Source organism: Homo sapiens, chromosome 18, assembly GCF_000001405.40.
Source record: "Homo sapiens chromosome 18, GRCh38.p14 Primary Assembly".
NCBI classification, from domain to species: Eukaryota; Metazoa; Chordata; class Mammalia; order Primates; family Hominidae; genus Homo; species Homo sapiens.
The window spans coordinates 39,958,092-39,980,314 of record NC_000018.10 but is presented as its reverse complement, the minus strand read 5'-3'; the positions used below and the strand labels follow the sequence as shown (position 1 = coordinate 39,980,314).

General features: G+C 35.2%; 1 long non-coding RNA gene across 1 annotated transcript, besides 1 other annotated feature; it reads right to left on the bottom strand.

Annotated features, from left to right (window-relative positions):
* Window positions 1-2,392: 2,392 nt before the first annotated feature.
* LOC124904349 (uncharacterized) lies at window positions 2,393-21,205 on the bottom strand. The gene is made up of 3 exons (XR_007066451.1): window positions 21,071-21,205; window positions 3,572-3,650; window positions 2,393-2,457 (listed from the first exon to the last, which is right to left on the bottom strand). It is a non-coding gene; the product is annotated as an uncharacterized LOC124904349 (long non-coding RNA).
* Window positions 9,717-10,691: an enhancer, noted in NCBI's record as "OCT4-NANOG hESC enhancer chr18:37549588-37550562 (GRCh37/hg19 assembly coordinates)". NCBI's record gives its function as "activates a minimal SCP1, AML or CMV promoter by ChIP-STARR-seq in naive H9 embryonic stem cells {active_cell/tissue: H9 hESC(naive)}" and the evidence as "EXISTENCE:reporter gene assay evidence [ECO:0000049][PMID:30033119]".
* Window positions 21,206-22,223: the final 1,018 nt, after the last annotated feature.

Below are 22,223 nucleotides of genomic sequence, written 5' to 3'. Positions count from 1 at the left end.
CTTGATCTGAACAGTTTGGGAGGTGATTTTGATATGCAGTTATGTCTGAGAACTAGTAAAATAGTGTATTTCTTTATTTTGCATTTTCAGAGAAGTAAAATGAGTTATCAATGGTTAAAATATAAATATAAACTAACCCAGGACTCAAACTGTCTTTTGTTTGCTGTTCAAGAAATTCCAGCAAATTATAAACTTGTTACTGATCCTCTGTTACTGGATAAAAAACATATGGATAGTCAAATTTTATCAGATCTGATTTAAGGGTATCTAAAAAGGGTCTCCAATCTTACCATCAATGATAGGCACTTTAAAAAATATGTTTTCACCTAGAAACCTCTATAATATGAAGGCTTTTGTGACATAAAGAATTCACTATTCCAAATCAAAATAAATGGGCAGTGTGTGGGACACATATTCCTCAACAGGTATTTGTTATACAGTAGCAGCTTAGTTATCAGCAGTGATGTGCTGGCAAATGTTTAACCTCTGGTTTGTCTCCTTCTACGCCAAAAACCCTCAATTGTGAGTGTGTGTATGCATGTGTATATACACATATACTTACATATTTGTGTTGTAAGTTTTAAAGTTAAAAAATATAACACAATTTTAAAATAATAACAAAACATACAATGCACATTGAAAATTTCATATAGCCAATTGATATGCTTTGTTGATTTTTGCTGATCTCTTATGGCCAAAGCTAATCTATGATTGTAATTGACTACTGAGTATAGTTTAAGCATAAATGTTAGGTTGCTATACTTGTGTGTGTTTACAAGTAACAAGAAACTAAAGCAATGAAGGCATGCCCATACTTTATTCACTTAAAAGTGACATTATTTGCTGAATTGGATAATACTTTTCAAATACTAGAAAAATATTTGCTCAGTTTTTGTGGTATTCACAGTATAACGGCCACTGAGGTAAACATTTTTAAGTTTAATCTGCATTAATAACACATTGTCTATCAGTTTCTTAAGTCAAGACAATCAACAAAACAATAAATCAAGGCTTTATTTGTAGTGTTTTCTAGTTTCCATAGATTTCAAGAGACTACATGAAACAACTGAATATGGGGTTGGGAATAGATGTGCAGTAGACATCATGATGCCATACTTCCACGCTGCAGACAGAATAAACAAAAGTATCGTCAAAAGCAAAGATAATAGTCAATATAGTAAAATATACAGGAGGACATGTGTTATCCATTTTTTTTTGGTTTTTAATATAATGCATTTAATAAGTACATGGAATTTTATTTTTAATAATAGCTTTGTTTAATAACTGGCTTTCAAAATTCCTGACAATTTAAAAAATGGGGCTCTTAAGCCAGTACACCCAGCACACCACTGGTTCAGTTAATAGTTTGCCTGAAAAGATAAAGAAAGAGGAGAACACTAATATGAAAGGTGAATGCATTAGGGGAGGAAAACTTCAATTAAAAGTTGCATACTTTAAGATAGTGCAGTGGAAGTAAATTTTTTTCAAGAGAATTTCTCTTTTAGTCCTTTTCTCTTCATATTTGGTGTTAAACTGAGATTATCACCTAATTTTAGAAAATCATATTTTCTTTCTGGAAGAGTAATTTCACAGGAATTCATGGAGTCAGAAAAAAAATGATTTGTAAGGAAGTCAGAGATAAACCTGACACAAATAATGCCTGGGAACAATGATAGGCTTGACAAATTGGCCCCCATCACCACAGCCCCTGAATTATTCTGTTTTTGAGATCATTTTCTGGCTTGAAAGTAATATATTTTCTGAAGTTTAATTACAGATGAACTTTACCAATGCCCACCACGCCCATGCTTTTTCTTCTGGGTAAAATTTGGACAAAAGTGAGCATAGCTTATGAGATAGTTTTTACTATGAGTGTTATAAAATTTCAAAATATTTTCTGTGAGTTTATAGCCTGTAAATAGAACATTAAAAAGAAGTAAATATAAAGGAAAAATATATCTTTCTAAGGTTTCCAGTCAATACCTTGTCTATGTCAGAAAATTATTTTAACCAATAATATTCATTGAGCAACTATATACATGGTTCAAGAAAATTCTCAGTGAATTTTAAATTTTCAGTTGATTAACTTCTAAATATCTAATCATGTTTAAAAGATAAGTTCCTCAAACATAGATGAACTTTGCATATAATAGCTGTGAAAAAGTTAATGACAATTTTTGTTTTTGTTTTCTGCATGAGCCATAGTTATCAAAACATTAAACCCTTCTTAATTCAAAGTTTCATAAAAAACAACCTAGGAGGTTTTCTTCAGAGATGGCTTGAAGGTGTTGGAAAATGAACTTCAGAAAACTTTTAATCAGCTCTTATTCTGGGAATAGTCCTTTGACTTTAATTGAGTCACTTCAGTTCTTTTGGAGTTCAGTTTCCTCACCTATAAGATAAAAACTGGGTCCTGGAAGTGTTTCAAGGGTCAAAGGAAACCACCTGTGACAAATTCTGGAAAAAATATGACATTGGGTAACAGCTCTTGTCATTTCCATGGCATTGCAATATTTAGTAATATTTTCATGTTTTGAGCTGAACTGTTGACGTGCTCCAATTATAGAACTATAATAAAAGTATTTATGTATTTATTCAGTAATATAATTTATAGGGATGGGGGCAGAGAAATTCAAGGCAGAAAAGAGCAGGTTTCTGATGAAACCCAACCCTCAAGCTGAAAAGCGTGAAACCACAGCCCGAAGTAAGAACTTATATCCCTGTTTTCCTGCTCAAATGCTGCTTTTTCCTAAACCACCCATGACCCCACCCCATCCCATCCTGTGCCTATGAAAACCCCAGACTCAGCCAGAAGATGGAACGACTACATCTGAACGTTGGAGAGAAGTGGCTTGACTTCAGAGGGACATCTTGATGGCATAACTTTGGAGAGGAATCTGCTGGATATGGCCAGAATTCAGGGGAAGATTATCTACCCACCCCATCCCCTTTTCAGCTCCACTTCCCACTGAGAGCCACCTTCATCAGCAATAAAATCCCCTGCATTTACCATCCTTCAATTTGTTTGTGCGACCTCATTTTTCCTGGGTGCTGGACAAGAGCTTGGGAGCCACAAGTGTGGATACAAAAAGCTGTCACACTGGCCCTTTGCTCTTGCTGGCAAAAAGCAGCCACCTCACGTGAAAAAGCAGAAGGCCAACTGAGGTGCTAACACTTAAGCCCTCTGCAGATGGCAGAGCTAAAAGAGCACTGTAATATTCCCTCTGGGGCTTTGGAGGTCACAGGCACCCCCACCTAGACACTGCCACGGGGCTCACAAATTCACTTCTGCTGGCGCCCAAAAGTGTTTGCAACAGTCCCTGCACCCGCTCACCGGCGTTCTCCCTCCCGCGAGGGGTGGAACACAGAGGGTCTGAATGAGTGGAGTTGAGTCCTGCAGGCACACTGAAACAGCCAGCCAGTTCCAATGCTCATGCACTCCAGTTCCCACCTTATTCTCTCGTGCACTCCCTCACACAAGGAGTTGAGAGCAGCAGGCTGAGTAAACAAGGTAGCCCTGTTGCGAGTCCCAAGGAGGGGTTAGGGAAATATCCTGCTTCATAATTCATACCTGTGAAGCCCTGGCTACACCAGCAACTGGAACACTGAAGTAACTTCCATCTTCCAGTGTCTCTCTTGACCATACCTGCCTGTTTCCACAACCCAAAACAAAGAGGAAATGGAAATTTTTATACATTTGTATTCTATGCATATGTAAAATGTATATGTTATATAAACAAATAAATATATGTAAAATACATATAAGTATGTTTTCTATGTCAGCCATAATTAACAGGAGTTTGAGCTGCATGTTGTCAGAAATTCTAAAGGTTTTCAGTAGATATTCCTGGGAGATGACAGAAAAGAAAAGGACATCAAATTTCCTGCACAGAAAAGCTAATCATCCACTTAGTGAAATCAACTTATTCACAAGAAACTACTAGAAGTATTTTAGGACAAGAAATTACCATACCTTAAATTAAATGATAGAAATTATATGATATGAATTATATGACTTGAAATATAGGAGTGCTATGAACCTTTACAAACAGAGAAAAAGCGTATATGTGAGTGACTAAATGCATATATACAGGGAGGAAGTGCATTTCCATATTTATTAAGTATTTTAATTTTGTATAATACTGGTAACAACTTACTGGGGGGAATTTAAATGTATGTCCTTCACTCTTTGAAATTTTAGCAGTGGATTGGAGAAAAATAAATAAATAAAGCAGAATATAGACAGAAATTCATTAAGCAGAGATAGAAACTTAATATACTTAGTTTTTATACAGTGAGGCAGTGCTCACCATGTATCTTATGAAGGGAGGTCATCTTTGGTTGAAACTGACTGAGAAGTCCTATCAGAAAAGTAAGGACTCATTTGAAGTTTGTGGCTGATAAATGTTTCTCTACTGAATAGGAAAACAGAATTCTGGGAAGGAAGAACAAGGGAGTTGAAAATTGGAAACTGAAATAAAAGTAGGCTGTCTAAATAGTAGTCATGATTAACTGAAATGACAGATCGATTGTAGATTTAAGAATTAATACTAAGTGAACAGCAGAGGGATAATGGATTTTGGAAGTTAGGCTAAGGAGTTGGCACTGAATTCTCATGGGCAATGGGAGACCAAGGGGAATAGTAATTTCTCACAGAGAGATTCAGAGTTAACAATGGTATAGAGTCAATGTTTCTTTCTGAATGTCCAAGCGTGATTCCTCTAAACTAACTTAGATATCCCATGCATTGGGTAGTTCTCTTCATCTATTCTTCTCCAGCAGTACCTGGCTGGCTAAAACCTTTACTATGGTACCATCGTATAATACTTGCCCAGTCTGAAAACTAAAATGATGCCAGTGAAGCATTCACCTCAAGAACAAAACTTAAGGGACAGGAAAAAACTCAGTAAACAATATGAATATTTTAATGCAATATTTCTAAAAATAAAAATCAAGACAAAATTCCAAATGAGCAAAATACCAAAAAATTATATACAGTATCAGTATTCACCGTGTGCATGTCCTGTCTCATTTGATCCTAACAATCACCATGTGGAGACCACAAGACAATCACTGTTCCTGTCATTTAATTACCAAGGACAATGAAACTCAGAGAAGTTCACTCACTTGCTTGAAATGGGGAACCAGAACGCAAACCTAGATATTCCTATTCAAAAGTAGTATATTTTCTGCTCCAGGAGACTAGCAGTTCCTTTTATGGATGTTCTCTGAATAGATTCAGGGAAGAGGCAATTCAGAAAGCTCAGAACATTCATAGTTCTCACTGATTTAAATCTAGGAGGTTTGCTGTGTAGGATGCTGATTCTGTGATATATTTTTCTCTCTGAGTATTTCTGTTAAGATTTCAGTGGAATAAAGGAAAAAACTTTGAGAAGAGATAAATAGGATCATCCTGAAAGAAAAAAAATATAGAAATTTTACTTGAAAAGAGACTGAGAATAGACCGCAGAGTCTAGGTAGAAGAGAGTAAATTGCATGCTAATCGCATACAAATAATGCATGGACCTACTGTTTCATATACCTGCATATGACCCTCAGGGATAAAAACCAGCTGAATCCACTGCATCTCAGCATAGTCCCTGAATTGAATTTACTAGTAAAACCAACTCAGATGAATTTTTATTTATTATTTAGCCAATGAGAATGTTTCCAAGGTCACTAATTAGCAGTTTTAATCTCTTTAAACCCCCATCTTATTTGGATTCATGGCTCTGATCTACATCTTGTGTTCCCATCTGCATTTACTTTGATTTGCCACTTGGACATTCATACTGACCCCATCTGCACAATGGTGTCTGCCAGCCCAGAAGCTGGTCAGTTGCATTAGGGGTCTGGATGCTGGGCCTGGAGATGGCAATGAGGACAGTAGGCAGCAGTGACAGTTATCAGAGGCCAAGACCCAAAGCCAAAGCAGATATTCAGTTGATTGGGCCTAGGAGTTGGGACTAAAGCGCAAGGTGCACGGCAGGTGGACTGATGAGATTGCAGAGCAGCAGCAGTTTGGAGTTGGCAAGGTTTTGCTCACAGTTTGAGTGCAGCAGCCTTATTAGCAGGGTTGAAGCAGTGGTTTCATCCACTGAAGTTTCCTGACAAAAACATTGTCCCACTTTCAAAACTCAAATAAAATCTCAACAGGAAAGAAAACCTCCTGCGTGTGGAAAGGTATTGCTCTTTGACCAAGCACTTTGCTTCTGGTGGGAGAGAGAAGGGAAGAGAGGGTACCTACCTGCCCACCAGGTTAGTAATAAACCTCTGTTTATCTCAGTTATCCAACCCATAAAATGGAAATAGTAACTGCCTTATCTATAGCACAGATACATTATGAAAATTATGTGAAATAATGTGCGTAACAGAGCTTTAAAAAGAACAAAGCCTCATATTTTAAAAGTTGTCTTTTATGAAAAATTAGCATTGGTTTTGAATATACTAATATGTATCCTTTTGATTTCTTCTGAGAAGGAATTTAGAATCATCTGAGCTATTGTTAATCTTGCATTATTTCTTTTTTGTCCCCAAATTCCAGCTAAGGTGAACTTTGTATATTACCTAATCATAATCTTTTGGATATTTTCCTGTCTCCATGCTGAAACTCATACTATTTTTTTTTCTACCCAGAAAATGTTTGCTTTCTATTTAAGTCACAACTTTATCATTTCTTCAAATCCCACCTTAAATATCATTTTCCCCATGAAAAGTTTCTGTCTCCTTACTACTTTAAACTTCTAATATAATCTTTTGAGTTTTATTATGCTACAACTTGCCTTATCCTTACAACAAAGTCATTTGTGTCCTTGAATTATTCCTTCTCACAGATTTTAATCTTCTCTTGAGCAAGAAGACCTATAAGGCCTAGAGAAGGGCTCCACCCATATAATTCGTCAACAGATATTTGTCAATAAGAACCAGACTCACTCTGGAATCTTCCTCTACAAATTTCCTTTGGTAAAGTATATTTGAACAAATTGGAATGTCTTCACTGTTCTGAAATGGGAGGACTGAAATACAGCAGGAATTTCATTTTTTGCTTTTTTTTTTTGTAAGTGAAGATGCATATATTAGAGGAGTATTTCTTAAACAGCAATCTTAATAAATCTTTCTCCCACCATTGGAAACCTGGCAGAAAGTGTCTGGCAGAAGCCTTCCTGTGTAACCTTAGGACCCATAGTGAAGCAAGCAGCCTGTAAGATACAAAACAAATTTGTCTGACTCACCTGGAAGAAAAATTATTAAAATCTTAATACACAATAAATCACAGTAATATATGTAATATTCCCTAGCATATTTCTGTACCCAACAGGTGTTCAGTATATGCTAAACTAAGGACAAAATAAGCAAGAATAACAAACATGTTTTGCAGACACCAGAGTGCTAAATAGAGCAACCAGGGTAACTATTGATGAAAAACCACCTCAAATGGTCATTCCTCCCTGAATCAGATGCAGGACACAACCTCTGCACCCAGGGAGTTTGTGAGAGGAGTACATATGTGCAGAAGGTCATCATGCCTCTCATTGACAAGTTGGCCAAATCAAAGTGGATCATGTCAGCCCGGTTTGGTTTGCCCAAGGGGAAAGCATGCTGTCAGAATCCTTTACCATCTCAAGTCCAGTGAGAAGTTAGGAGAATGCAGTTGCAACATTAATTCCATTTTTCTTAGGTCAGTGGTTTGATGTGACTTGTCTTCAGACCTTGGGCAAAATGATCAATGCATATTTCAGACTGAAAGACCACGAGCTAGTTAACTCATGTGTTACAATGTATTCTTAACGAGACACTAGGAAACCTGGTTTCTGATGTTGTGTAGCGCTTTCAATGCATGAGCCCAAACTACTTAATGCAATCTTTAAGACTAGGATGACCATTTACCCTTCGTTGCCTGTCATAGTTCCTGCTAATACCTGTTATATCTACCTAATTATTAGTAGTATGCTTTTTCATTTCCAAGAGTACATATGTTTGGACAATAAATTATATGGTCATTCTACTTATCAATAGAGGATGGGGCAGATGACCTTTAAGATATTTTTCTGTTTTGTATTTCCGGAATTTTAACTAATTGAAAAACACATATAAAATGGAATCTAGTTAAATATATATACATATGTGTGTGTGTGTGTGTGTATATATAATTGTATAATTATATATAACATATATATAATTATATAATTATATATAACATATATATAATTGTATAATTATATATAACATATATATAATTGTATAATTATATATAACATATATAATTGTATAATTATATATAACATATATAATTGTATAATTATATATAACATATATAATTGTATTATATATAACATATATAATTGTATAATTATATATAACATATATATAATTGTATGATTATATATAACATATATATAATTGTATGATTATATATAACATATATATAATTGTATGATTATATATAACATATATATAATTGTATGATTATATATAACATATATATAATTGTATGATTATATATAACATATATATAATTGTATGATTATATATAACATATATATAATTGTATGATTATATATAACATATATATAATTGTATGATTATATATAACATATATATAATTGTATGATTATATATAACATATATATAATTGTATGATTATATATAACATATATATAATTGTATGATTATATATAACATATATAATTGTATGATTATATATAACATATATATAATTGTATGATTATATATAACATATGTAATTGTATGATTATATATAACATATATATAATTGTATAATTATATATAACATATATAATTGTATAATTATATATAACATATATAATTGTATAATTATATATAACATATATAATTGTATTATATATAACATATATAATTGTATAATTATATATAACATATATATAATTGTATGATTATATATAACATATATATAATTGTATGATTATATATAACATATATATAATTGTATGATTATATATAACATATATATAATTGTATGATTATATATAACATATATATAATTGTATGATTATATATAACATATATATAATTGTATGATTATATATAACATATATATAATTGTATGATTATATATAACATATATATAATTGTATGATTATATATAACATATATATAATTGTATGATTATATATAACATATATATAATTGTATGATTATATATAACATATATATAATTGTATGATTATATATAACATATATAATTGTATGATTATATATAACATATATATAATTGTATGATTATATATAACATATGTAATTGTATGATTATATATAACATATATATAATTGTATGATTATATATAACATATATATAATTGTATGATTATATATAACATATATATAATTGTATGATTATATAAAACATATATATAATTGTATGATTATATATAACATATATATAATTTGAGTGTCATATTGTACCTATGTTTTTATATTCTATACACAATAAATTCACATTACCAAAAATACCTTTGCAGAGTTAGACTCAAGCCATAGAGCTTATTGATATCCTCAATCCTCTACCAGGACTCTTTGATAGAGAGATGAGAATAGACAGAGTAACTTCACAGACTGATGTAAAACCTTTTCTTATTTATTTTTATTTTTATCTGTTCTCATCTTTGCTAGTCTATAAAGGAAGGGAGTGCTTTACCTTCTGAAAGTCTTGTCTTTGGGAGTTTACTGGGCTTCAGTCTTCTTGATGGAATGTTTCTCCACACACAAAAATATAAAATTTATAACAGCAAGAAATGTAAATTTAGTTTGTGGGTAAGAGTGAGAACATTAAAATAAGAAGGGCTGCCATGGATAGAGGCAGATTGACAAATGCTTCTGAATGAAGGAGAGATAAATGTGAAAATATGAGAAAAATGAGAAAGTGCATTCAGACTTGCTAGGTCATATCCTTGGCTGTGAATATTTGTCAGATGTTGTGACAGCTGTGCCTCATAGTATGACTTTTGGAAATAGGCTATTGTATTTGTTTAAAGAGGAATTCACATGCTTAGTCAATATCCTGGAGCCAGAAATATCAAGGAACATTTAAGACAAAATGAGAAAAATCTCAGGAAATGATAAGGCCAAGGTTTGAGTACAAAGTTTCCCCCAAAACACGCATAAACTTTGGACATGCATATGAATGGGTAAACAGTGACAGTTTTAAGTAAGTTGAAAAGAAAAGTAATAGCAAAGACAATGATGTATAGTGTCTTTAAAATTGCTTTGACTTTAGCCTGTGTCTTTGTCTCTTAGATTGCTCTGTTTAATGATGTTAAATAATCTCAAGTACCCTTTGAAGTTGGGTAACCCACAAAGCTCTTCAGAGTAGCTTTGAAGTTAGATTCTGTAAAGCCTCAAATGAAGTATAATTTAGGAATCCTGGATGTGGTATACATCTTCAGTCACTGATTTGAAAGTAGGCAGACGGAGACTGCATCTGAAAAGCATATAGTCCCATTATGTGCTTTTATGTCCCTTTATGGGAAGTTGAAAAGTTTGCCTGCTGAGATAATCCTATCTGATATGCCAAATCAATATTTTTTTTACATTTTCTTTACTATTGAAATTTTGGCTGTTATTAATATATTGAAAATTTTTGTTAATATTATTTCAAATATTTGAGTTATTAATGTAAATTACATCATGCCTTCATTTTGGCCAGAATGAAACAAAACTTGAAGGTAGAAAAATAAATGAAGAAGTGATAAAACGGTGAGGGTTTGAATCAATGTGACTATCTCTTCAAGATTTCAAGTTCCTAAAAGAAGGAATTAGGTAATTTGTATTTATCATTGTTTTGTGCCCAGCAAAGCACCGTATAAACTTTAAATCTTCCTATAGGCTTTCCAATTGAGAAGACACAGGAAGTCATAGAAGCCATTCATCTTATGGAGGAAACTCCTGCTGGCAAAACACTTTTCTGGATACTATTTGAGAGAATCCAAAGAAATGAAAAAGAGTTCCCAGTCTTTTGTAACTCTAACTGAATGCACTAAGATATAGCACTAGGCCTAAAAATGACATGGCACTCCCACTAAAATAAATATATATGAAGAAACACATATAATCATTAAATATAAGAAGAGATGCTCAAAGTCTTTAGTGATATTGAATTAAGTGAATAAAACCCAAAGTAAGGTTATATTTAATGCAATGTGATTGGCAAAAATTAACAAGTCTATAATACCAAATGTTGAAATACAAATAGGCTCTTTTAAACTCTGGTGTTGAGTGTAAACTGGTACAACCACTTTGGAAAGCAGTTTGATATGATCATCTAAGAGTGAATATTCATATAACCTATTATCACAATGATTTGACTCCTTGGTAAATACCTAGAAGAAAATCCTTACACATGTTCACCAAAGGTATACAACAAAATTTATAGCAACACCATTTGTAATAGCAACAATCTACGGAAGATTAAAACAACAAAAAAATTCATCAAAATGAGAATAGTCATATAGTGTGTGGTATATTCACACAATAGAATAGTATACATGTGTGAAAATAAACTCAAGTCAAATGCTACAATTTTGATGAACTTACTTAAGAATATTCAGTAAAAAAGTAATTTATTGGAACTAGAAGTTAAAACAACAGCTAATACTAACTTAATATAACTGAGGAATGTTTAGCTTTAGCTGTTTGTGTGTGTGTGTGTGTGTGATATATAAACACACATATATATTTATACATATGTTTGTTAATTTATATTACAAATACATTTCACATATGCATAGTATACAAATAGGTATAAATTCCCAGTTCTTAGTTTCTCTGGGTTGTGGAAGCAGGCAGGTGTGGTCAAGAGGAACACTGGAAGATAGAAGTTACTTTTAATGTGCTAGTTGCTGGGTTGGCCAGGGCTTCACAGGTATTCATTGTATTATTGAATAAATACATAGTTATTTTTATAAATTAGTGCTGTAATCAGAGTATTTCAACAGTTCAGTTTCTTACACAGAAATATTGCTAAAAATAACAATGTCATGGAAATGGAAAAAGCTGTTACACCACGTCCTATATTTTTCTTAGAATTTTCACATATGTTCTTTCCTTTGAGCTTTAAAACACTCCCACAACCCAGTGTTTATCTGATAGATAAGGAAACTGAGACTCAAAAGGACCGAAGTGATTCAGTCAAAATCAAGGGTCTAGTCCCAGAATAAGAGCTGATTAAAAGTTTTCTGAACTTAAGTTGTCTATTTTCCTACATTCTAAGCCACATACTTTGAAAATGTCCTCTGATATATTTTTTACAAAATTTTGAAATGAGAGGGATTTAATGTTTTAATAGTAAGATGATGCTAAGTTAATGGAAATCTCTCTCCTCCCTGTATACTACCTTGGCAACTAAGAGCAAAGTAAAAAGCTTTATTAGAATAAAATATAATATGTCTTTTCAGGCCTACACAAATGAGATTTCAGCTCTCTGAACATTGGCTAGTCATGCTATAAGGAGGCCAAAATGGGGAAGGAAATTCTTTTTAAAATATTTATTCATTCTTTGACTTATCAAGAAATAGAGAAGAATTGTCCTTCACCTTCACAAAAGAGTTTGTGCCTTTATTTGATCTAATATGAAAGAGAAGTAGAAAGGTTTTCCTGATCCCAATAGAAAATGAAATGTTTCTATATTCCCCAGTGGTGTCACTGAAGAAGTCAATACTGAAATAAGCGTAGCATAGACTTTTATTAATTATTTCAATCTTTGTGAAGTAGACATCCTTCTCCCCCCATTCTTTACAGATGTCTAGATAAAGGTGATGTCATCATCTCAAAGAAGATCAGAAACACTGGGACAAAACTTTTGATGTCTTTCAATATTGTAAATGAGTAGAGAAACTCAAGCCTCATACTTAGAGACTCATCTTTTTCTGAATAGCCTATCTAGGAATTATTTCTCTCCATGGACTCCATTGATTAATTTAGTAAACATTAAATACCTTGCAAAGACCACCTCAATAAATATACACATGGCTAGATGCTCAATGTGGCTGTAGACATTTAGAGGCAAGTAGGCCTCAATAAAAGCTGGAGTGGCCAGGGAACATTTTCAGAGAAGGAGAAACAATCCAGGAGACAGAGTATCACACTGAGTCAACAGGATATTTGTAGATTTGGGAAAGATGAGAGACATTTTAATCAAAGGAAGACACACCATTCTTATAAATATTCCCTGGACAAAGGGTTATCGCTCAGGCCCTGAATCCTGTGAATGCACATCAGCCACAGGAGAACCATAAGATAAATGGTTTGCTTCCCTAAACATGGCAACAATCTATTAGGGGACAGGCCTATGAGCTTAAGGGCAGAGCCTCCCTGCATTAAAAATTAGTTTGGGTAGGATTCTATATAATCGGCTGATGCAAAGTTTGATAATAGAAACTTTCTTCCTATTATAACTCTCCTATGACCTGCCCTGATATCTGGTATTTCATGAAAATAATATCATCATTGTGTATCTTATAGAAGCTTCAACCTCCAGGAGGCATTGCTTATGTGCACATGCCCCCGGGATAAAGGACATCCAACACCTTCAGAAGAAAGTGGTATTAAGATACGCTCAAAGAAAGGATTGTGTGGTTGGAAAAAAACCAGCAAGTAAAATTATCATTTAGTGGGGTACTCCAGCCTCAGAACACTGGGATAGGGCTTGTTAAAAGAAAGTTGGAAAGCCATCACAGTCGACCATTTTTTCCATTTTTATTCTCCCCAAAACCTCACTGAAACATGGCTTGAAAGGAGTGAATTTGGATATACTTCAGCAGTTCAATCTCTCCCCACCAGGGTGAGCCGGGTCATTTCCCTATTTTGGTGCTTAACCTAATTTGGAATCCTCTTTTGCAAAATGCCTTTACCACCTGCCTGAGGTGAAAGGAACAAAGCTCATGCCAACTGACAGGAATGTTTTCTGCAAGGCTGAGTTAACAGGGCAACCTTACATTATCTTTTGCTGAATAAGGAGATTTTTTTCCAAAGGTGAAGGCTGAGAACGTTCTTTTTTTTATTATTCATCTTTTAAATGAAACTCAGGTTAAGTGGAGAGCAGCCAAAACAGTGGATGTCACACACTGAGGGTGACGGTGGTTTTCTCATGTCCTGAGGAATGAAGGGGCTCACGGAGAAGGAAAATGTTCTTCTCTATAGACCATTGTTAGAAAAGCAACATAAATCCCACAGTGGAATATTCTCTATGGAGCACCCTTGTCCTAAGCAAGAATTTTCATGTGATGGCTGTCATGTTATGATTTCCCATTATTCATTAAGAAACAAGCCCTCAAAACTTGCCTGGCCCATTGCAACAATCTTTAAACTCCCATCCCTAAAACACAACCTTCACTCAGTCACCAAGGCCACTTTCTCCCAATATCCTCTATACCATGTCTTTCTGGGGCCCAGAGATTTTAGGGCCTCCCCAGCACCATTAGAATGGTGCTTGAATTTAATTTGACATTGAAAGTCTTACATGCAGGTCCTGGCTCACTTTTATAAATCAAAGCCCCCCATTCTATTTTAAAATGCTCTTCTATGGCCAGATCTCTGTGGCCAGTCAATTCTATGGACAGCTGCTTCTTACCCCGTTTTACTGATTTATTTTGTAGTTCTCTCAACTAGATACAACATATGTTCTTTCATAAAATCCTATCTACCCTTTACATCTTCTTTCTCCTCCTTAAAATCTTTCTGATAACTTCAGTGCATACTGCATTGCCTCTGTCCACATCTTTCGCAGTATTTATGGCTAAAAAAGCCCCACACTGTCCACTGCGTCATAATACAGCTTGACATGTTGTGTGCATCAAGTGTGTTCATCTCATTCATTTAATCAGCTAGAGTCAAAAAATTATTATTTTTGCAAGTTCAGTGCTGGATCTTAGGCTGGTTTCTCTCTTCCCACCAAAAACCAGCACAAAGATCATATTCATGATGACATTTTAAAATAATTTTGCATTAATTTAAACCATCAAAATAATAGTAAAATGAAAGCCATCCCCATTAAATGAGCTACAAATTTTGAATTGACTGCAAGAAAAAACACTTAGGGTACAGTTCTTTTTAAAAAAAATTGATGTTTTCTGCTTCAGGACAAGTCATAAAGGATGCTGTAGTAGGTTTAACAGTATTGTCCAAAATTTTATGTCTACCAGAAACCTCAGAATGTGAGCTTATTTGGAAACTGGGTCTTTGAAGTTGTAACTAGTTAAGTTAGGATAAGTTCAAACTGGATTAGATTTGGCCCTAAATCCAATGGCTGATGACCTTAAACAAAGAGGACACACTGAAAGACACACAGGGAAGAACCATGTGACAAGAGAGTCAGAGCTTGGAGAGCTATGGTTGCAAGCCAAGGAAGCCAAGAATTGCCAGGAGCCATCAGAAACTACAAAGAGGTGAGGGAGGAAGATGCCTCTTAGAGCTTTCAAAAGGAACGTGGCCCTACTGAAATCTTGATTTTAGACTTCTAGCCTCCAGAACTGTGAGAGAATAAATTTCTGTACAGTTTGTAATTATTTGTTACAGCAGCCCAAGGAAATGAATACAGATGTTGAGTGACGCATTTAGTGTTCTGAATGTAAGTGAGGCGTTTCACTCAAAATAGAAAGTTTGATACTAGCTGAAAAACAGTTCTGACCAGGGAAAATCTTCTTCTACAGATGGCCTTAAAAATAGAATAGCTTCTTTTTTTTTTTTTTTTTTTTCACGATGGTTTTGGTGTGATCCTCCTTGAAAAGAGGTGAATAAACCAAGTGACCTTTCAAGATCTTCCTCAATCCTTTGATACTGGGGTTTTATGAACTCTGCTCACTTGATAATCTAGGCCAGCTTTACTTATGCGTGTATACTTCCAGAACAGTTTTCTATCTCAAAACTTCTACTGCAGGCAAGTAAATTCCCTCATGGCCCCTACCTCTCTCTTTCTATACATATACACTAAGGTGCAGCCGTATCTGTGTTTATACTGATATATTTGTTTTTACTAATCTCCTTAGAAAGAAGCCCCTACAGTATGTCTTATAGGCTGCTTTCGTTCCCTATTTTTGGTAGCCTTGTTTGATATGGTCTTATTTTTATTTTTAACCAATGGGATTTAAAGTGTTTTATTAAACTAGTTAGTGACATTTCTATAAACTTCTGGATTAATCATAATTGTATAAGTTGCAATAATAAATAATCCATAACTGCAGAGGCTTTAAATAAAACAATTTCCCCCTTACCTACCCAAGTTGTACATCGTGGATCAGTGAGAGGCTTTGTCCTATACCCTACTCATTAGAGAAGGCACACTAATTGAGTTCTGCCATCTGGGATAGCTCAGAATCTGGAAGGGAACATGGGAATGGGGCACTGGTCCATAAAGGCTTCTACTTCCACATGACGGATATTATTTACTATCACATTTCACTGGCCAGAGCAATAATACATCCCTGCCTAACTTCTAAAGAGGAGAGAAGTGCAATCCTACCATGTCTTAGAAGGAAGAATATGAATATTGGTTATTAGTGTAAATAATGACCAGCATTCCAGACTACAAATCAGAGTATTTGTTACTTTACTTCATACACAACTTAATGGGTTCTCAATGACTGAGTCCTCCTAGTCTTAAAGGAATTTATATTCTAGATGAGAAAATAATTCTCCTTGGGGGAGAAGCCACAGACATGGAGTTGACCCTCTAAACACAGAATTTGAGTCGACCCTCTAAAGCAAAAGCAGTAATCTAAAGTCTTGGCTGGGCGCAGTGGCTTACGCCTGTAATCCCAGCACTTTGGGAGGCCAAGGCGGGCGGATAACCTGAGGTAAGGAGTTCGAGACCAGCCTGACCAACATGGTGAAAGCCCGTCTCTAATAAAAAATACAAAAATTAGCCATACATGGTGGTGTGCACCTGTAATCCCAGCTACTCAGGAGGTTGAGGCAGGAGAATCATTTGAACTTGGGAGGCGGGGGTTGCAGTGAGCCAAGATCGGCCACTGCACTTCAGCCTGGGCAACAGAGTGAGACTGTCTCAAAACAAAAACAAAACAAAACAAAAAAAGCATCAAAGCCAGAGAGCATATTTTTTAGTTTTTTTTTTTAAAGCATAAACTAGACCAAAAGAAATCTCTCCAGAACTACTGCAAATCCATAGATCAATTTCTCGAGTGTTGGTTATTCTCCGTTGGCCCTCCCACCCACTGCACACTTCTCTATACTTGTCTGTCCTGCCCTGTGTTCCTACAGCAAGCCCTTTCTTCCATATTTCCAGTTGCCAATGGGCTCTACTGGGACTATTGCCTCCCTGAAATCCTTTGGCCCTGAGGATAGTAGAGGCTTCTCACTGTTGCTAGTATCTGAACGCCTCACTCTTTTTTCCCCCTAAACCTATCCACACCTCTATAAAAATGTCTTCATTAGTTTCATCTGAACCTGGGGTGAATTCTGTTTTCTTCTGAGACTGACTGATAACACCTTACTTAATCCCAAGAATTGATGAAATGGTATGTTTTCCATAGGTGAAATGTAGGAGAAACAACAGATTCCTGTTGCATGTATCTATCATGACTCATGTAAACCTTTGCCTGAGGCGAGTTTGCAGGTCGATCACATTTGTATCATCTATTATTATGATGTTCTCCTTATTTCAATTTAATGAAAAGGCCTGTCTTTCACCCTTTAACATAGCACACAAAACTCATGATTTAAAATAATAATAAAATATCAAAAGCTCATACTTTCCTCAACACAATCCTGAAGTTTCTCCTGAGAGGAATAAAAGCTGTTTTTCTGGCGATAAAAACCCACCAAAAAGTTTATAAAGAAAACAAACTCCCCTCGGGCAGTAATCGGTGGTCAGACGGTATCTGACAAGCACAGCAGAATTTTAGCTATTGCTCTAGGGCTGTTCTTAGTTCTGGTCAATTCCTTTGCTAACTGGGATATGAAAGGAACCCAAGTGAAAATAGTCCAGAGGGGGGAAAAATAAGAAAGATAATGTAAAACAAACTCATTATATCTGGAATATTAAGATTTTTTTCTTAGAAGATTTTCTCCTTTTTGCCCTAGAGCACTTGAAAGTTCTGAAGATACATTTTATGTAAAATCTAAATAATATTTTACATAACACTTACTTTAAGTTTAAAGGCTTGCTACAATGAAACTGGTACTAAGTGGAGTTAAGGCAGCAAAATAAACTGAAGAGGCCTCATAAAAATATATAGGCAGTAGTTAACTGATGCAAGGAAATAAGCTTCATGGCATGAGACCTCGGATTTGCGTTAACACCTAAATTTCCCCTGCCTCATTCTGGAGTTCTCATGCAGTAGTAGTGTTTCCTCCTATACATTTTTTTTTTCTCAACAAGGAATAGTAGTCCTATTTCCTGACTAATTAGAATGGTTTATAATTAGGTTTTGGCCTGTAGGAAGGGATTAATCACTGTAAGAGGTGTGGGAAATTCAGCAGCTTCTGTTAGCAAGGGTATTCATGCCAACTTGGTATTTATTTATTTACTTCTATTTTGAGTTTCGTTTAATGGGAAGTTTTATTTTCTACAGATTTAATTTTGATGTCAGGGTTAAAGTTTCAAACTCACTCTCCTTTGTTCACACAAATTTTAAAGTAAATGTTCAAATTCACTCTCTTCCATACCCTAACCTCCGGGTTTAAAGTATTCATTGCATGCCTCAAGATTAATAATCTGGCGATTTTCACATCTTCTTCAAAGACATGTAATTTGGCTACATCTGGTATTCCCCACCACCACCAATCAGTTTTACAAATGCGCTGGGCTCCAGATACTCAGCTAGATGCTGTGTGACCTGAAAATACAAGGACAAAGTCTTTATAGGAGTTTAGAGGATAGCTGAAGACTATACCTTGTCAATAACAATACCAGCTAAAAATGGAAATCAGGGTCATTGTGCCAGGAATGCAGGATTAGATGTCATATGAGCTCTCTATATAGTAAAAAATATATTTTTAGAAACGATTGTTCCAATTACGTCCCTGCCACCAATGAAAGCTATGATTTGGGGAAGTCTTTTTCCTGGTTAATATAATAAGTAACATTATCTCTGCGGTTTCCTCCTGGTTTAAAAACTTGTATTATTATTTTATACAGATTTTTTTATACCAGATATCTTGGGCATGGGAAAGACTCTATAATTTTTACTTGGTAACATGACCACACTCTTAATAAAGATGTTGAAATAGGTGAGAATGACTTTTAGTGTAAAAAACCCACTCTAAATGGAGTCGCTACTCCTCTCCCACATTATAGAGTTGATAAAGTACCTGAAAATACTCTTTTTGTATAAGAACATTTTCTCATTTTGTATTTGGAAGATATGCAATTAAAAGTTTTATTAAATAAGTCATACATTATTGAAGTTGTGTGTGGTAGAAGTAAAAGTTGTAGTGTCTCAGTTTTTCATATTCCAATTCCTCTGGAATCAGTTTCTTCACTCAGGATGATGAGAGATAGGGCACACACTCTCCTACCCACCTCACATTCTTAGCATATAGCAGTACAGATCATTCTCATGAGTCAGACTTTCATTCTGCTGCTGTGACTAGACTTAAGAGTCAGAATCAAAGTGAGATGGAGATATGAAATAGAGATAACGGAATGGGTGGACAGATTTCAAAACAATGAACCCAGATATTCTTCTCATTTTATCCCTCAAATTGATTGGTGGTCTTGTCTCCCTCCTACTGTGCCAGTTCAAATCTCAACATACCTTATTCATCCTTAAAAGTCCAGTATAAATTTTTCCTTCTCAAAGCCATTTGTGGAGGACCCAGTTCACAGGGACCTAATACTCTGGGCTCCTAAAGCAGGCATTGTCTCTTCCTGGTGTAAAGTGGCTAGAGCATATGCTCTTCAACCAAATCTCTTGCCCTTACACCCTAGAAAGCCTATTCACTACTTATGTGACCTAGGACATTTTTCAGTAACTGCTTGTTTCTCAGATTCTCCATCTGTAAAATGAGGATGATAATACGACTTACCAAAGAGTTGTGGTGAGAATCTCCCATAAAGTAGAACTTGGCACAGAGTAAACATTAAATATCCAATGATGTTAGCTAACCTTATTTTATACCTCACAATATTCCAAGGTGTATGTCCTTTTACATAACTTGGCTATAAACCCCTTGAAATCAGTTTAAATATTCATAGTTCTGGGTCTTGCTCCCAGTGCCCCAGCAGAGTACAGTGAACACATCAGACGCTAAGTCAGCATTAGTCAACTGATACTTAGCAGTGGTTTCTGGTTTCTTTAAGACAGGAAATAAATTACAGGTGATTACATAGTGGAATAGGTTTTGGAAATGTAGCTCAGGGACAGGCTAACTGCCAGATATGCAGACTACATTAGGCCAGAACTGAGTAAACCTACATCTGAGTTTCTCCCTTGAAAGTTATATTCTGTGCGTTTGTGACAACTGTCTTCCCCAGCTCATTCTAGTTGTGCCCCATTTGGGAGAGAAGACAAAAATAACTCAAATTTAACTCTTGTCACAAATGTATATGTTAAAACAAGTACTTCTTGGTTTCTACATATTCTCTTCCTAATAAATATACCAGCATGAGTATAATCTCTTTTACTCACATTTTTGCCAGTGAACCCACAGAAACACTACAATATGTCAGCATTTCTTATGCTCTTAAAACATTTGTTTTTTTCTGAGAAGAACAGAAAACACAACAGCAACTTTTTTGAAAGTCCACAGTCCAAATGAAAGTTCATGAAGTTCCTCTGATGGCCCCAAAATTTAAAAGTGGCTTCTGTTAAAGTGGCCAGAGAGGCCCAATGATGGTCAAAAGCTGAAAAGCATAGATAAGAGGAATGAAGCAATAGAAATGAGGATAACATAACCCTCACTATACAAGATAGTAAGAATAAAATGCTCTATTTTGTAGAAAAGGACTCCTTCTAGACACACACAGGTACAGACATAAGCACACACCTTCAAAAATGACTAAAGCATAGAGAGAGTCGTTTCCAACAATAATAATTGCAACTACTTTATAAGTTCTAATTAGGTATGAGATACTTACATGATTAATCTGCAATTCTTAAAGCAATCTTCTAGGAAGCTGCTGTTATCTTATCATTTAAAGTTGACAATAAAGCTCAGAGAGCCTGCTCAGGCCTTGATTCTGGCACATGGCTGAGCTTGGTGCAGCTTAGGCAGCTCCTGTTCCATGCAGCACATAGATCTGCATTCCACTTGGCACCTTCACACTGAATCATCCTTTTACTTCCATTGTATGTGATTTACAGATCCACCCACATGATAGTTTAAAAAATAAATGGCTAAATTTAGTCAATGTTTCGATTATTCTAACTAAAACCTATTCAAATGCCCCAGGGACCATCAAACTATCCTAGACTACTTCACAAAAGCTCTATACTATATATATGCACACACACACACATATATATTTACATCCATATCTGTATCTCTATATCTGTCTGTATCATCTGTATTAGTCAATTTTCACACTGTTGATAAAGACATACATGAGACTGGAAAGAAAAAAAAAGGTTTAATTGGACTTACAGTTCCACATGGCTGTGGAGGCCTCAGAATCATGGAAGGAGGCAAAAGGCACTTCTTATATGGTGGCAGCAAGAGAAAAATGAGAAGGATGCAAAAGCAGAAATCCCTGATAAAACCGTCAGATCTCATGAGACTTATTTACTACCACGAGAACAGTGTGGGGGAAACTGCTCCCACGTCTCAAATTATCTCCCACCAGGTAGGTCCCTCCCACAACACATGGGAATTATGGGAGTACTAGTCAAGATGAGATTTGGGTGGGGACACAGAGCCAAACCATATCATTCCACCCCTGGCTCCTCCAAATCTCATGTCCTCACATTTCAAAACAATTCATGCCTTCCCAATAGTTCCCCAAAGTCTTATCTCATTTCGGCATTAACCCAAAAGTCCACGTTCTAAAGTCTCATCTGAGACAAGGCAAGCCCTTTCTGCCTATGAGCCTGAAAAATCAAAAGCAAGCTAGTTACTTCCTAGATACAATAGGAGTACAGGTATTTGATAAATACAGCCATTTAGAAGGGGAGAAATTGGCCAGAACAAAGGGGCTATAGGGCCCACGCAAGTCCGAAATCCAGCAGAGCAGTCAAATTTTAAAGTTCCAAAATGTTCTCCTTTGACTTTAGGTCTCACATCCAGGTCACGCT